The 16,168-nt window shown below is 52.5% G+C and overlaps 1 protein-coding gene across 2 annotated transcripts in view, besides 3 other annotated features; it reads left to right on the forward strand.

Annotated features, from left to right (window-relative positions):
* Positions 1–16,168, forward strand: part of SSC5D (scavenger receptor cysteine rich family member with 5 domains) — a 30,664-nt gene that overhangs the window by 5,491 nt on the left and 9,005 nt on the right. The window contains exons 8-13 of one of the 2 annotated variants that reach the window (NM_001195267.2): positions 684–857; positions 3,954–4,271; positions 5,890–6,486; positions 6,564–6,878; positions 7,108–7,275; positions 10,190–10,415. In NM_001195267.2, the coding sequence (NP_001182196.1) occupies positions 684–857; positions 3,954–4,271; positions 5,890–6,486; positions 6,564–6,878; positions 7,108–7,275; positions 10,190–10,260 (1,643 nt within the window). In that variant the 3' untranslated portion in view covers positions 10,261–10,415. Of the gene's footprint in view, positions 1–683; positions 858–3,953; positions 4,272–5,889; positions 6,487–6,563; positions 6,879–7,107; positions 7,276–10,189; positions 10,416–16,168 lie in introns of those variants that run through there. The other variant, NM_001144950.2, reaches the window with a different exon arrangement.
* Positions 9,770–9,859: a silencer, noted in NCBI's record as "silent region_11039". NCBI's record gives its function as "represses an Ori minimal core promoter by ATAC-STARR-seq in GM12878 lymphoblastoid cells {active_cell/tissue: GM12878}" and the evidence as "EXISTENCE:reporter gene assay evidence [ECO:0000049][PMID:35858748]".
* Positions 9,910–9,959: a silencer, noted in NCBI's record as "silent region_11040". NCBI's record gives its function as "represses an Ori minimal core promoter by ATAC-STARR-seq in GM12878 lymphoblastoid cells {active_cell/tissue: GM12878}" and the evidence as "EXISTENCE:reporter gene assay evidence [ECO:0000049][PMID:35858748]".
* Positions 14,196–14,490: a silencer, noted in NCBI's record as "tiled region #5021; HepG2 Repressive non-DNase unmatched - State 22:ReprW, and K562 Repressive DNase matched - State 8:EnhW". NCBI's record gives its function as "represses a minimal TATA promoter and a strong SV40 promoter by Sharpr-MPRA in HepG2 and K562 cells {active_cell/tissue: HepG2 | K562}" and the evidence as "EXISTENCE:reporter gene assay evidence [ECO:0000049][PMID:27701403]".

Consider the following 16,168-nt stretch of genomic DNA (forward strand, 5'->3'; position numbering starts at 1 on the left):
GTGGAGGACCGGGAGGTGGGCGTGGTGGTGCTTGGAGCGGAGGGGCAAGTTCGGCGGGGGCGGGGGGGTCCCTACGCGCCCTTCCTGCCCTCTCTCCGGACTTTCCACTCCCCCATCTTATTCCCCTCTGAATCCTCACCCTGCGTCACTGGTTCTCAGCTGGGGGTGGCTTTGCCCCCAAGGGGACATTGGACAGTGTTTGGAAACATTTTTGATGGTCACAGCTGGGGGTGGGGGTGCTCCTGGCACCCAGGGGTTAGAGGCCAGGGGTGTTGCTTAGGATCCTGCAGTGCACAGGCCGCCTCCACAGCTGAGAACAGTCCAGCCCCAAATGGAAACAGAGGCGAGGATGAGCCTCAGCCCCGTGGCAGCCCTGGCTGGCCCTGCCTCCTGGCCCCCGGCGGAAGCCAGCCTTCTCCTCTGCATAAGGTCACCCCCCGCTTCTCTGCCACCCCTAAGCTACCATGCCCTCTGCTCTCTCTGTTCCCGTGCTCCGCATTCACACCCCTCTCCCCAGGTCAGGGATGTGGAAAGCGTGGGCTGTGTCTAGGGAGGAGGTTCGGCAGGAAGAGATCTCTGCGTGCAGCTGAGAGGACTGAGGAAGGATGACGCAGGAGGTGGGGGTGCCGGCTCCGGGATGGAGGGTGTGTGTGGGTGGCAATCACTTACCCCCTGCTCCACAGGCATGCCCCTGGGCTACGTCCCTCCCACGGCCCCCACGGACAGCAACAACTCCACGCCCAGGGAGGCTGCCTCCAGGCCCCCGTCCACCATGACGAGCCAGGCTCCAGGGACGGCAGGCGTTTCACCTCCTCCAGCCTCCCCTACTGTCCTTTGGGAGCCTGGACCGGAAGCCGGTGAGTCCCTCCATGCTCCCCAAGAAAACAGGGTCCTTCCTTCTGTTTCCTTCCCTCAGCTCTGAGACTGTCTCATGGGGGGCCTCTTGCAAAGAGAAAGGTGGAGAAGAGGAGCACAGGGGCCTCGCCCAGGACACTGAGCTGGGTTCAATGCTCTGCTGTTGCGTCTGGGAGCGTGTGATAATTCTTGAACAAGGGGTCCTAACTTTCGTCATTTACCAAGCCCCCAAAATTCTGTAGCCAGTCCTGGATAAGAGAAAGGATGCTGGGCTGAGAGTCTGCTCTATTCCCAAGCTGCACGGTGTGGCTGTAGGATCCATCATGGGGTACTCAGGCCAGCTTCAAGGAACAGCCCTGCTCAAACATTACCTTTACTTTCCAGAGTCTCTGGTTCTTTAGCAAATGTGATCAATGGTTCTGCCTGCCTCCTTTCATATATATATATATATATTTTTTTTTTTTTTTTTTTTTTTTTTTGAGAGTGGATTTAATTCTGTCACTCAGGCTGGAATGCAGTGGTGTGATCATGGCTCACTGAAGCCTCAACCTCTCAACCTGCAGGCTCAAGTGATCCTCCCACCTCAGCTTCCCAAGTAGCTGGGACTACTAATTTTTTGTATTTTTTTTTTTTGCAGAGATGGGGTTTGCCATGTTGCCTAGGCTGGTCTTGAACTCCTGATCCCAAACCATCTGCCTGCCTCGGCCTCCCAAAGTGCTGGGATTAGAGGCGTGAGCCACCGTGCCTGGTCTCTTTCATGAGTATTGAAAGGACTGTTGTTTTAAAATATAGGTGTTATTATTACTGAGGTATGGTGAGGCCAGGATCTCAGGAGATGACAGCCACTAAAAAGATTGTGACTGACGGTTCTCAAGAGGATGGCGTGCCACACGGGGCCACACAGGGAAGCACCAGGGCCAGGCAGGAGGTAGACGGAGTGAGGGGGAAGCATGGCAGGAATCTTTTATACATTTATTTAGAGACAGGGTCTCACTTGGTTGCCCAGGCTGGAGTGCAGTGGTGTAATCACAGCTCCCTGCAGTCTCAAACTGCTGGGCTCAAGTGATCCTCCCACCTCCGCCTCCTGGGTAACACAGCTGCATGCCACCGAGCCTGGCTATTTTTTTTTTTTTTTTTTTTTTGTAGAGACAGGGCCTCACTATTGTCCAGGTTGGTCTCAAACTCCTGGCCTTAGGTGATCCTCCTGTCTTGGCCTCCCTAAGTGCTGGGATTATAGGCGTGAGCCACCCGGCCAGGTGCAGGGGTCTTTCTTGTGTTTTTTGCAGGAAGGAATAGGTGAGACAGGTTGAGCAGGCTTAGAACTGGCTGGTTTGAAGAATTTCAGTGGGGCCGGTGGGGAGGGTGGCGACTCAGAGGGTTGTCCTTAGTCATCTGGTACTTGGCCCTGGGGCAATGAGGACAGGTGCAGAATGGCCCAGGGTGTGAGAGCCCAGTGGAGAGGGTGGTTTGCACACGAAAGGCATGCTCAAGCCATTTACCATCTCTAGGAATTAGCTAACCCTGGGAGGGGCAGTCCCTCAGGATCAGGAATGCTCCAAGATGTCAAAGCATCAGAAATACAGAAAATAAAAAGGCGTGGTTAACACAGCTGTCTCCTCAAGATGGGAAAAGGCCGAACAAAAGCAGCAACTTATTTTCACCATGATCACCATTCCCAGAGGTCTCGTTCCCCTTTTCCTGAATAATAATATCAGCTAACACTGAACGAGCATGCACTGGCTCCTGGTGACTGATGCTGTTCCCAGTTCTCTCCGTGTCTCAGTCCAGGTGATGCTTACAGCCACTGTGGTGTGGATACTGATAGGTCTCCATGTTACAGATGAGGCAGCACCGCTGAGAAATGGGAGAGCCAGGATTCAAGCAAAAACACTTGTTCCAGGGCGCACGTTCTTTAAAAAACAATTGTGATAAAACATACATGACATAAAGTTTACCATTTTTACCAGTCTTTTTTTTTTTTTTTTTTTAAACAGGGTCTCGCTCTGTCACCCAGGCTGGAGTGCAGTGGCACGATCTTGGCTCACTGCAACCTCCGCCTCCCGGTTCAAGCGATTCTCCTGCCTCAGCCTCCGGAGTAGCTGGGATTACAGGCTGAGCCACTGCACCTGGCCCATGCCTGGCTAATTTTTGTATTTTTAGTAGAGACAGAGTTTCTCCACGTTGGCCAGGCTGGTCTCAAACTCCTGACCTCAGGTGATCTGCCCGCCTGGGCCTCCCACAGTGCTGGAATTAACAGGTGGGAGCCACCGTGCCGGGCCTGCTGCTCCCTGTCTTTTAAAGGACTTCCTCTGAGAAGCCTTCTCCAGCTTCCTCAGGCAGAATTTTTCTCACCTTCTCCTCGTTGTGTGTCTGCCTTGCCCTTTGGGTACTTCCACTACTCCCTTTAGCTCGCTGAGCTGTAATGAAGTGTGTGCATGCTACTTTCCCTGAAGACCGAGAGCTTTTCAAAGCAGAGGCTGTGCCTGACTCATAAACAACAACAAAACACCTTATTATCCCTGGTGGTCTAGTGGTTAGGAAAATAAAATCTAAGAAAGAAGAAAAAAACCCTTATTAAACCAATAATAATGAGAGAAAATTAAGGGTGGTGAACAACTGCATGGAAAAAGACTTATTTTAATTGAGGTGACATTCATGTAACATAAAGTTAACCAGTTTAAGTATACAACTTAAGTGGTATTTATACATTCAAAATGCTGTACAACCACTACTATTTGGCTACTGTGAATGGTGCTGCTATGAACATTCACATACTGGTATCTGTGTGAATACCTGTTTTCAGTTTATTCTGGGTATATCCCTAGTAGCAGACTTTCTAGATTATATGGTAATTTGATGTGTAGCTTTTTGAGGATCCTCCAAACTCTGCCTGACTCATTATCCCTCATGCCTAATGCAGAAAATGGCACAAAAAAGGCCTCATGAAATACTTGCTGCCTGGAGGAAAGGATGGATGAATGGAGGGAAGGCCTAGATGGATGAGTGGAAAGGAAGATGGGGGGAGGGAAAGGTGGATGAAGAGTCAGGAGGCTGGGCGGCTTCCCCGACTCTAATTCTTTGGGTCTCTTCTACCCCAGGGTCCCCCCAGCTGCGCCTGGTGGCTGGGCCCAGCAAGTGCTCAGGTCGACTGGAGGTGTGGCATGACCAGCGCTGGGGGACCGTGTGTGACGATAGCTGGGACATGCGGGATTCAGCTGTGGTCTGCCGGGAGCTGGGCTGTGGTGGACCTCAGCAGCCAGACCCTGCTGCTGGCCGCTTTGGCTGGGGTGCGGGCCCCATCTGGCTAGATGATGTGGGCTGTGTGGGGACCGAGGCTTCACTGTCCGACTGCCCTGCTGCTCCCTGGGGAAAGCACAACTGCGCTCACAATGAGGATGTTGGGGTCACCTGCACTGGTAAGGAGGCCCTAGCTATCTGTTGACTCCAGGAGGGCTTCCTGGAGGGGAACAGTAACTAACATGGGCACTAACATTGATTGAGTGCTTCCTAAGCCCCAGCCCTGTGCTGGGTGTTTTTGCACATATAACCACATTGAAATCACATAATAAGTCTAGGGTGGTGTGTGTTATGCCCATTTTACTGATAAAGAAGCTGAGGCACAGAGAGGTTGGGTAACTTGCTCAAGATCACACAGCAACAACTAACTGGCAGATCTGGGATTCCCACTCAGAGAAGCTTCTGCTTCCTCTTCCTTCCAGGAATCAAGGAAATTTCCCACTAAGAAAGGAGCTTTAGCTTTCCTACGATGAAAGGAAGCAGGCAGGGCACTGGGAGATGGAAAGAAGCCAAAGTGAGAGCCAGTTAACATAAACTCAGGCAATGCCTGTTATTAAATTGCAGAGGCTGAGCCAGGTGCAGGGTCCTCATGCTGGGCTCATGAATGGAATGAACATGGTCTTGGTCTTTGAATAGCTCACAGCTCATGTAGAGAAATACTCTAACAAATCATTGCAAACCTGTGTGACTCGTTATAGTTTGAGGTTACCAAGACCACTGTCAGACTCAATAATTTGCTAGAAGAACTCTTAGAATCAAAGAATCTGTTACACTCAGCGTTATCGTTTATCACAGTGAAAGGATACAGATTAAAATCAGCCAAGGGAAGAGGCGCCTGAGGCAGGGCTCAGGAGACAGTAGGTGTGAGCTTCCAACTGTCCTGTCCCAGTGGAGTTATGCAGACAGCACTTCATTATCCCAGCAACGAAGTGGGACAACACACATGAGGAACTGCCAACTAGGGAAGTTCCCCCAAGCCTTGGCATCCAGAGTGTTCGTGGGGACTTGGCCACGTACATGTGGCTGACCATAAATCACACTGTTAGCATAGGCGATCTGGCATGGCCCAAGTGCCCCAGGGAAAAAAATCTCTTATCAGGCAAGGTGTTCCAAAGGCTTCGAAGTCATCTCCCAGGAGCCGGGGAAAAGGCGAAACCTTTCTTTGGGCAGGGTTAATCCTTTACTGCACACGTGTGCTAATCAGAAAGATGGAAGATGGAGAGTGGTGTCTCAAAGGATGGAGGCATCACCTCTGCTGGAAGCTACGGCTCTTCCCTCTGTCCCCGTCTTCCTGAGGGCCACGGGGGCACCACAGAAGGATTCTGAGTTCGGGAGTGGCCTGTCGGACCTGGGTACCCCACTGGTGGTCAGTAAGAATTGACAGGGAGGTAGGGAGACCTGTCAGAAGGTATAGGAAATGAGGCCCTGACTCAGAGCAGAAGCTGAGGAGATGGAGAGGAGAGGTCAGGTGTGAAAGGGTGAGGGGGTCAGTTATGTCCAGATTGTAAATGCCAAGAAGGCGGGGGCAGTGTCGGGTTTGGCTTGCCATAGGCTACCCGAGGGTCTAATATGGTGTGTGGCTCATAGGAGGTGCTCAATAAATATTTGTGACAATAAATGAATGAATGATGAATGAATGGGAACTGGGTGAGTGACTGGAGAGAAGGAGGGGCCTGGGTAGATGATCTTGTCATCATGGTGTCTCTGTCTTCTCTTCCTGCCCCACTCACCTTCCAGGGCCCCCAGGCCTGGACTCCATCTCAGACCCCTTCAGCTGGAGCTGGATTCCTGGACTGGGGAGAGATCGGGATGCCTGGCTCCCGGGAGAGCTGGCCACCAAGCCCTCTGCAAGTGTGACTGCCAGTGTTCTGGAGAAAACAACCACGAAGGCCCCAGGGAAAATGCCTAAGAGTACTAAGAAGTGGGTGACAAAAAATGCAAAGAGACCAACCACTCAACCCCCAGTGATGCCAACCACGAAACACTCCAGGGCCCAAAGCCCCCCAGACCTAACCTCACAGACCACTGCAGCACTGACCACTGAGGCCTCCCGAAGACCTACCTCTGAGTTTACCAGAAGGCCGACCACGGAGGCCCCCCAGAGATGGACCTCTCACACCACTGCCACGCTGACCCCTCAGGCCCCCCGAGAACGGACCACTAAGACCATGGCAATGCTGACCACTCAAGGCCCCCAAGAAATGACCTCTGAGTCCACTATCAAGAGTATCCCTCAGGCCTCCCTGGAGCCATCTGCTGAGATCCCAGAAGGGTCTCCAGAGTCACCCAAAGACCCGGCCCCCTCTCCCAGTGTTAGCACCACTGGGGAATCAGGTGAGTGGCCGTGAGGGGTGTGGGGAGAGAATGGGAGAGGCTGACCCTCCCTCCTGACCTAAGGGCCTTCCACGCAGGCCTGTTCCGGGTTCGTCTGGCCGATGGGCCCAACCGCTGTGCTGGCCGGCTGGAAGTGTGGCATGCCGGACGCTGGGGAACAGTGTGTGATGACAACTGGGACCTGCGGGACGCCACTGTGGCCTGCTGGGAACTGGGCTGTGGAAAGGTCCGGCCTCGAGTAGGCAAAACCCATTACGGCCCTGGGACTGGGCCCATCTGGCTGGATGACATGGGCTGTAAGGGAAGCGAGGCCTCACTGAGCGACTGCCCCTCGGGGGCTTGGGGGAAGCACAACTGTGACCACGAGGAAGACGTGGGGCTCACCTGCACTGGTACCAGGGCATGGCGGCGGTGGTGGGGTTGTCGGGGGTGGCCAGGAGAATGGAGTCAGGGTGGGGCCAGGTGACGGCACCATGGTCGACTCTAAAGAACTGGGTATGAGGGGTCGGGGTGGGGAGATCCCAGAGTTGCTCCAGAAGATTCCAAAAGGGGAGGGAAGAGCAGCAGCAAGGACCTCTGAGAAAGAGGATGGGGTCAACCATTACCCCAATTTCTCCAAAGGCTACACAGACTATGACGATTATCCCCCCTGGACCTGGGACCCCACCTCAAGAGAGGACCTGGCCAAGGGGACTACCACAGCGGGGGTACCTGGACACACTCTCCCCTGGAGGACCACCCGGCGCCCGGGTAGCTCCTCCCCAGCAATAAGGCGCCTGCCGGACACAGGTGAGAGGCCTGATTGGGGTGGCCATGGAGGGCCTCCATAAACCTCCATTCGCTTCCCTGCAGGGTTTCCAGAAAGACCCTTCTCAATGAGCTGGCTGAGGCCTCGGGGCACCCTGGAAAGGTTTTCCTTGGCTCCTGAGACCCTAAACGCATTACCTCCTTGGGCTCAATGGTGACACTTCTTCAGAGCCAAGGACACCATCTAAGAGATCAGGCTAAGCTCAGCAATCCTGAGCCCATGGCCCTCCTGTAAGCCACACAATATGCAAGCCTGGGGCCCTCAGTCAAACCCACAACCAAGGGCCATTCTGTCATCACATCATCGTCCCCACCCCAGCTCCCCCAGAGCAAGCGAAACCTCACCCATTCTTGAAGCTCACGCTCTGGTCCGGGCCTGGTATGGCTCAGAGGTGGGGACTCCTGGAGTGCAGCTTCTCTCCTTACCCTGGCCATCCCCTCCCTCTGGCCAGCAGAATCAGCCTCCAGGGCCACAGCTCCATCCCCCTCTGCTCTATGGCCTCTGTCTTGCTGCTGCAGCTCCTTCCACACCTGGGACCACGCCCCGCTTTGGCCCCCACATCACTGTCACCACATTCTTCTGCCTTTTTCTTTGCCTGTCTTCCTTGTATCCCCATCTCTCAGGATCCCTGCGAATCCATCTCTGCTCCTGTTTCTCACTTGCTGTTGGTCTCTTTTTTTCATTATCCATTTCTCACCCTCATCATCTCTATCTCTGTATTGCCCAGGATGGAGTGCAGTGGTGTGATCTCAGCTCACTGCAGCCTTGACTGCCCGGGCCCAAGCGATCCTCCTGCCTCAGCTTCCTGAAAAGGTGGGACTACAGATGTGCGCCACCACACCCGGCTCATTTTTAATTTTTGTAGAGACGGGCTCACTATGTTGCCCAGGCTGGTCTCAAACTCCTGAGCTCAGGCGATCCTCCTGTCTCACTCTCTCAAAGTGCTGGGCTTATGTCTGGGTTTATAAGTGTGAGCCACCATGCCTGGCCTCACTTCATTTTCCATGATCAAATTCTCTATCTTTTCTTCTCTGTGCCAATCTCTTTTTGCCTTTCATTTTCAATTTCTCACACTCGTCTTTATGCCGTATTTTTTTCATGGTAATTTCTTTTGCTCTCTCTCACCATCTTTCTCATTTTTTTTCTTTCGTTGTCAGTTTCATATTCCCATCATTTCTTTTTCCCTGTCTTTCTTTTTCAATTTCTCACCCTCATTACATCTATTTCTCACTCCAGTTTTCGTGGTCAGTTTCTCTTTATTTTTTTCTCCCTTGTCCTTCTGTCTTTTTGTTTCATTATCAGTCTCACACTCTCATCTCTGTTTCTCACCTAGTTTTTCCTGGTCAATTTATCTGTCTTTCCCCCTCAGTCTTTCACTTTTCTTTCAGATCTCACCTTCACCACCTCTGTTTCTCACTCCATTTTTCATGGTAAATTTCTCTCTCTCTTTTTTGAGACAGGATCTTGCTCTGTTGCCCAGGCTGAAGTGCAGTGGTGCGATCTCAGTTCACTGCAGCCTTGAACTCCCAGGCTCAGGTGATCCTCCGACCTCAGCCTCCTGAATAGCTGGGATTACAGATGCACACCACCATGCCTGGCTAATTTTTTTTTTTGAGACAGAGTCTTGCTGTGTTGCCCAGGCTGGAGTGCAGTGGCGTGGTCTCGGCTCACTGCAACCTCCACCTCCCGGGTTCAAGTGATTCTCCTGCCTCAGCCTCCTGAATAGCTGGGATTACAGGCGTGTGCCACCACTCCCGGCTAATTTTTGTATTTTTAGTAGAGACGGGTTTCACCATGTTGGCCAGGCTGGTCTCAAATTCCTGACCTCGTGATCCGCCTGCCTCGGCCTCCCAAAGTGCTGGGATTACAGGGGTGAGCCACTGCTCCCGGCCTGATTTTTTGTCGAGATGGGTTCTCACTATGTTGCCCAGGCTGGTCTCAAACTCTTGGGCTCAAGTCATCGGCTTGCTGCGGCCTCCCAAAGTGCTGGAATTGCAGGCGGGAGCCACTGGGCCCAAACTGTTTCTGTATCTTCCGTCCTCTTGTCTTTCACTTTCAGTTCTCAGCTTCGCCACCTGCTTCTCACTCGATTTTTCACGGTCGGTTTTGCTATATCACCTCATACTCTCATCGTCTCCATTTCTCACTGCGTTCTCTCCCCAGGCCCAGCGCTGTGGTATCTTTTCCTTTGTCTCTTACGGTTGTTTTCTGAGTCTCCATCTCCCGCGCCTTCCCTGCAGTCTCCCGCGTGCTCTCTTCTCTCTCCCCCTCGTTTCTCTCATGGTCAGCCCCCTTCCCTCCGTTTCTGTCTCCCGCGGGCTCCTCTGTCCGTTTCTCACCGTCCCCGCCGCCCTCGCCGCTCCCTCACGGGAGGTTTCACTCCCCACCTAAGGGGCAGCGTTTCTGTCCTCCCTCTGTGCCCGTCGCAGTCGCTGTTTCTCCGTCTTCTCCCTCCCTTCCACTCTCCCGCCCTGCTCGCCGTCTGGGGCTGCCTGGGTTTCTGCCTCTGTCGCCCCGCGCCCCGTACCTGTGCCCTCCTGAGAGGCCCAAGCCTCCCGCTCCCGCAGGAGAGTCTCGCCGCAAGCGTCCTTTCCCGCCTTTTTTTTTTCTGGCGCTCAGCACGCATGCGCAGGCGCGGTGGGCCCGGGAATGGAGGGACGGGATGGGGCAGGCGTTCATCTGCCTCGCACCTCGTGACGTCACAGGCGCGCTGCGCCTCCTGATTGGCCAGCCGGCGCATCGCCCGCAGTAATAATAGCTGGGCGAAGGGCAACCAGGCCCCAAGAAGCGGGCCTTGAGGTGGGGAAAGGGAGGGAGGAAGCAGGCCCTAGAGGCGCCGTGACTTGGGGGTGGGTGGGCTCCAGCTGTGAGTTAGAGCTATCATTCCGTTTCCAGAGCCGGAAGCGGGAGCTCCGAGAGGTGATGCTCCTCGTTCAAGGACTGCCAGGGTTGCAGCGCCTCCCTAGCCCATAGCGCCCCCTCGTGGTGGAGGCGGGCACGTGCCGGGCACAGCGGCTGCGGAGACAGCGGGTCCGGCCTCGGGACCCCTCCCGTAGGGTAGGGAGGCAGCCAATGAGCAGAAATAAATGCAGAATCACAAACTGCGCCGGTGAAATGAAAAGACAGCCATGTGTGCCACCTTATCAATAGGAAGACTTGGAGGCGTATGCGGGGTGGAGTGGGAGACGAGGCAGGCATGCATTCTTAGCTTCAGGAGCAATGTAACCTTGAAAAAGTGACTTGGTCTCTTTGAGTCCCCGTTTCTTATTTATATTGTTTTATTTATTTATTATTTATTGAGACGGAGTCTCGCTCTGTCACCCACGCTGGAGTGCAGTGGCGCTATCTCAGCTCACTGCAACCTCTGCCTCCCAGGTTTAAACGATTCTCCTGCTGCAGCCTCCTGTGTAGCTGGGATTACAGGCGCACGCCACCACACCGGGCTAATTTTTGTATTTTTAGTAGAGACGGGGTTTCACCATGTTGGCCAGGCTGGTCTCAAAGCCGACCTCGTGATCCACTCGCCTTGGCCTCCCGAAGTGCTGAGATTACAGGTGTGAGCCACCGCGCCCGGCCACCTGTTTCTTTCTCTGGAAAAAAAATGGGGCGCCAGGGTTGTTGGAAAGGTGGAACGAGAGCTCACCTAGTCTGTGCTGGGCATGCATGACCCCAACTTCAGGCCATAGAAACTGTTGCTACACCTGTGTTTCAGATGGGGTAAAAAGTGAGGCTCAGAGAAGTTTAACTTAGGAGCCACGATTATAACCTGTTTTAAGTGATTTCACACGTTTTGCTCCTTGGATTGGGAACCATATGCTAAAATAGAAGCACGAGTCTGGAGTCCGACTCTCCTACCAGGTTCCAATCGTGGTTCCAACCCGGATTAGAACTAGTTGGGTGACTGCAGGCCCCAATTCAATGAACAAAATGTGTGTGAAATCGTTTAAAACCGCAGAATATTGTTTGTTAGGGTTATTTGCTGAAAACGAACAACAGCTGCAGGATTTCAGGGAACGAGCGATTATTTGTAGTAGAGAAATCAAGGAAACCTCACAGGGGAGATGATATTATTTCATCAGCAGGCCACAAGGAGAAATGAATTCTCAGAGAAGCAAAGGGTGGGAGAAATTTGCATTGCCAGAAATTTTCATCGGTGTTATCCATCTCTGCTAGACTTTAAGCTCTGTGAAAGATCTGTATCTATTTCAATTGCTGCCATAATACATCGCCACAAATTTAGTGGTTTAAAACAACGCAGACTTATTATTTTGCAGTTTTGTAGGTCAGAAGTCAGACTTGCTTAGTGGGCTAAGATCAAGGCGCCAGCAGGGTGGTTCCCTTTGGAAGGCTCTAGGGGAGAATCCATTTCCCTGCCTTTTCCAGCTTCTAGAGGCCACCTACATTCCTTGGCTTGTGGCTCCATCCCCCATCATCAAAGCCAGCAACATTGCATCTCTCTGACCTTTCCTCTGCCTTCGTATTTTTCTCTCTCACTGTGGCTTGAAAGGTTCTCTGATTTTATTTATTTATTTATGAGACAGAGTCTCACTCTGTCGCCCAGGCTGGAGTGCAGTGGTATGATCTCGGCTCACTGCAGCCTCTGCTGCCCAGGTTCAAGCAATTCTTATGCCTCAGCCTCCTGAGTAGCTGGGATTACAGGCGTGTGCCACCACTCCCGGCTAATTTTTGTATTTTTAGTAGAGATGGGGTTTCACCATGTTGGCCAGGCTGGTCTTGAACTCCTGACCTCAGGTGATCCACCCGCCTTGGTCACCCAAAGTGGTGGGATTACAGGCGTGAGCCACGGCACCCAGCCAGTTCTCTGAGTTTAAGGACTTAGATTGGGGCCACTTGGCTAATCAGGATAATTTCTCCATTTCAAGGTCTGGACCCTTAATTACATCCACAAGTCCCCTTTTGCCACGTAAAGTAACATATTCACAGTTTCTGTGGATTGGGGCACACACATCTTTGGGCGAGGGGCATATTATCTTGTCTATCATGGATCTATCTGGAATCCCTAGTGTCTAGGGCAGTGCTTGAAACTCAGTAGTTAATTTTTATGTTATTTGTTAAATGAATGAACAAATGAGAGATGACATTGTAAGTCTAAGAGACACTGGAGATGAGATTGGAGGCCTGTGGAATTTGGATTTTTTTTTTTTTTTTTTTTTTTTTTTTTTTTTTTTTTTGAGACGGAGTCTCGCTCTGTCGCCCAGGCTGGAGTGCAGTGGCGTGATCTTGTCTCACTGCCAGCTCTGCCTCCCGGGTTCACACCATTCTCCTGCCTCAGCTTCCCGAGTAGCTGGGACTACAGGCGCCCACCACTATGCCCGGCTAATTTTTTGTATTTTTAGTAGAGACGGGGTTTCACTGTGTTAGCCAGGATGGTCTCGATCTCCTGACCTCGTGATCTGCCTGCCTCGGCCTCCCAAAGTGCTGGGATTACAGGCGTGAGCCACCGCGCCCGGCCGGAGTTTGGATTTTTATGGAGCAGCATTTCTTCAGGCTTCCTGGATGATGGAGTTTGGAGATACAAACGTCAGTTCATGTGTCAAATGCCTACTGTGTGACAGAGCATGTACTAACTACTGGGAGGTAGTGTTAGGGAGCAAAGCAGGGGAAGGGGCAGGGGAGACTGAGGGTTGCAGTTTAAAATAGGATGGCCAGGTGTGGTGGCTCATGTCTGTAATCCCAGCACTTAGGGAGGCTGAGGCAGAGGGATCGCTTGAACCCAGGAGTTCAAGACCAGCCTGGCCAACATGGCGAAACCCTGTCTCTACTAAAAATACAAAAAAATTAGCCTGGTGTGGCGGTGCATGCCTATAATCCCAGCTCCTCGGGAGGCTGAGGCAGGAGAATCGCTTGAACCTGGGAGGCGGAGGCCACAGCGAGCCAAGATTGTGCCACTGTACTCCAGCCTGGGTGACAGAGACTGTCTCGAAAAAAATAAATAAATAAAAATAAAATAAAAAATTCACCAAGCAGGGGCGTGCTCCTGTAGTTCCAGCTACCCGGGAGGTTGAGGCAGAAGAATCACTTGGGCCCTGGAGGTTGAGGCTGTAGTAAGCCATGGTCAAGCCACTGCACTGCAGCCTGGATGAGTGAGACCCCGTCTCAAAAAAAAAAAAAAAAAAAAAAAGGATGGTTAAGAGACATTTTACGGGCCGGGCGCGGTGCCTCACTCTAGTCCCAGCACTTTGGCAGGCTGAGGCAGGTGGATCACCTGAGGTCAGGAGTTCCAGACCAGCCTGGCCAACATGGTGAAATCCCGTCTCTACTAAAAATGCAAACAATTAGCCGGGTGTGGTGGTGCATGCCTATAATCCCAGCTACTCGGGAGGCTGAGGCAGGAGAATCCTTTAAACCCAGGAGGCGGAGGTTGCAGTGAGCCGAGATCCCGCCACTGCACTCCAGCCTGGGTGACAGAGCGAGACTCCGTCTCAAAAAAAAAAAAAAAAAAAAAAAGAAAAAAAGAGACATCTTACTAAGAAGGTGCCATTTAAGTGAGAAGGCCCTGAGGCCCTGAGGTGGGTGCATGCTCTGCTGGTTCAAGAAATAGCAACAAGGTGGATGGGACTAGAGCGGAGTGTTGGGTGGAAACGGTGGCAGCGGGGGAGATGGGGAATGGACTGTAGGGGCCAGCGTGGATGCAGGGAGCCCGGGAGGTCCAGGGGAGAGTGACAATGGCTCTGATCAGGGTGGCAGTGGAGACCAAGGGAGATGTGGATGTATTCAAGCCATATTCTGGGGTTTGAGCTGATGGAGCTGAGTGATGGGTTGGGGACAGTGAGGAGAGGGAGGCAGGGAACGGGTACCTTTTACCAGGTCGGGGAGCTCTGTGAGGTGGGGGCACAGCAGCCAGAGTGGGGATATCAGGAGATATTAGCTGTGCATCCTGGAGGTCCAGGGAGCGCCTGGGCTGAGGATATAACTTAGCGAGATGGAATTTGAAGCTGTGGGAGTGGATGTGACTGCACAGATAGACAGCTGTGTCTAATGTAGTTCCCGCCACTGCCAGCTGGGAAGCCGGGGAGACCCGTGCTTGGGGTATCGCCGGAGGTTTATCACCCTATGAGGTCATGCAGGGAGAAGAGGATCCAGGACTAAATATGAGATTAACTTTAGAGGTTGGATGATGATGAGGATAATGGTAGCTGCTATTTTATCGCGTGCTCTCCATGGGCCAGGCGCTGTTCAAAGTGCATCCTGTGGTTACACTCCCTTCCTCCCCATGCAGCCTTGTGAGGTGAGTCCTATCCTTAGCTTGATTTTACAGATAAGGAAACTGAGGTAGGGAGAGGTCAGGATTGCAAAAGGCTGAACTTGGATTCAGACTCCAGATTCCACACCCTTGCTGGCTCTAGCCTTGGAGAGTGGGAAGGACAGAATTAGGTCTGTAGAATCCAGGGCGCATGCAGCAGGGATGGCCTCATCCACAGGGGATGGGGGGAGGCCTCCTGAGGGCATGGCCTGTGGACTAACTCCTATACAGCAGGGATGGCCTCATCCACAGGGGATGGGGGGAGGCCTCCTGAGGGCATGGCCTGTGGACTAACTCCTATACAGCAGGGATGGCCTCATCCACAGGGGATGGGGGAGGCCTCCTGAGGGCATGGCCTGTGGACTAACTCCTATACAGCAGGGATGGCCTCATCCACAGGGGATGGGGGGAGGCCTCCTGAGGGCATGGCCTGTGGACTAACTCCTATACAGCAGGGATGGCCTCATCCACAGGGGATGGGGGAGGCCTCCTGAGGGCATGGCCTGTGGACTAACTCCTAAAGGATGAATAAAGGCTTGCCAGGGAAGGAAGGGGTGAGACTTGGGAGATATGTACCCAGAGGGAAAGAGAACCATTTAGAACCAGGTAGATCTGCTGGGGTCTGGAGCTGGATGCTGTCCCTTAGCTGTGTTACCCCAAGAAAGTTTCTTGCCCTCTCTGGGCATCAGTTTGGCCATCTTTGTGAATCAGCAGCCTCCCCAGCCACCCTCTCCCCATAAGACCAGCAAAAATGACACCGTCTGGCAGCATGAAGGCTGTAGGATAAAGGTGTGAGTGAGGATCCCCATGCACTTAGTGGGGCAGGTTCGCAGTATCTAAGGAGATACATCTGCTTCCATACAGCAATTCCACAACGAGGCGTCGAGAAATTCTCGCCCATGAGCCTAAGGACATGGGCACAAAGAGTTCACTGAAGCCATATTTGTGACAGCAAAACACTGGGAGTAACCGAAATGCCCATCAACAGGAGCATAGATTAATACCCAGCTGTATATCCATGCAATCGAGTAGTACGTAGAGGTTCACAGAATGAGCCAGAGTTATGTGTATCTTTTTATTCTTTTTTTTTTTTCCAAGACGGAGTCTCACGCCTGTAATCCCAGCACTTTGAGAGGCTGAGGCAGGCAGATCACCTGAAGCCAGGAGTTCGAGACCAGCCTGGCCAACATGGTTAAACACTGTCTCTACTTAAAATACAAAAAAATTAGCTGGGCATGGTGGCAGGCGCCTGTAATCCCAGCTACTAGGGAGGCCAAGGCAGGAGAATGGCTTGAAACTGGGAGGCGGAGGCTGCAGTGAGCCGAGATCTTGCCATTGCACTGCAACAAGAGCGAAACTCTGTCTCAAAAAAAAAAAAAAAAAAAAAAGAGAAAAAGAAAAAAAAAAGAAAGAAATACGCGTATGAGAATGAGAAACCAGATTTCCGACAGTGCATTCTGAGAGTACACAGGAGGCTGCCATTTTAAAAGGAAGACGGCTTCAATTTGTGTTCTTTTTTTTTTGTTTTTTTGTGACAGGGTCTTGCTCTGTCACCCAGGCTGGGGTGCAGTGGCATGATCACAGCTCACTGCAACCTCCGCCTCCAAGGC

This window comes from Homo sapiens, chromosome 19 (genome assembly GCF_000001405.40).
Source record: "Homo sapiens chromosome 19, GRCh38.p14 Primary Assembly".
Taxonomy (NCBI): domain Eukaryota; kingdom Metazoa; phylum Chordata; class Mammalia; order Primates; family Hominidae; genus Homo; species Homo sapiens.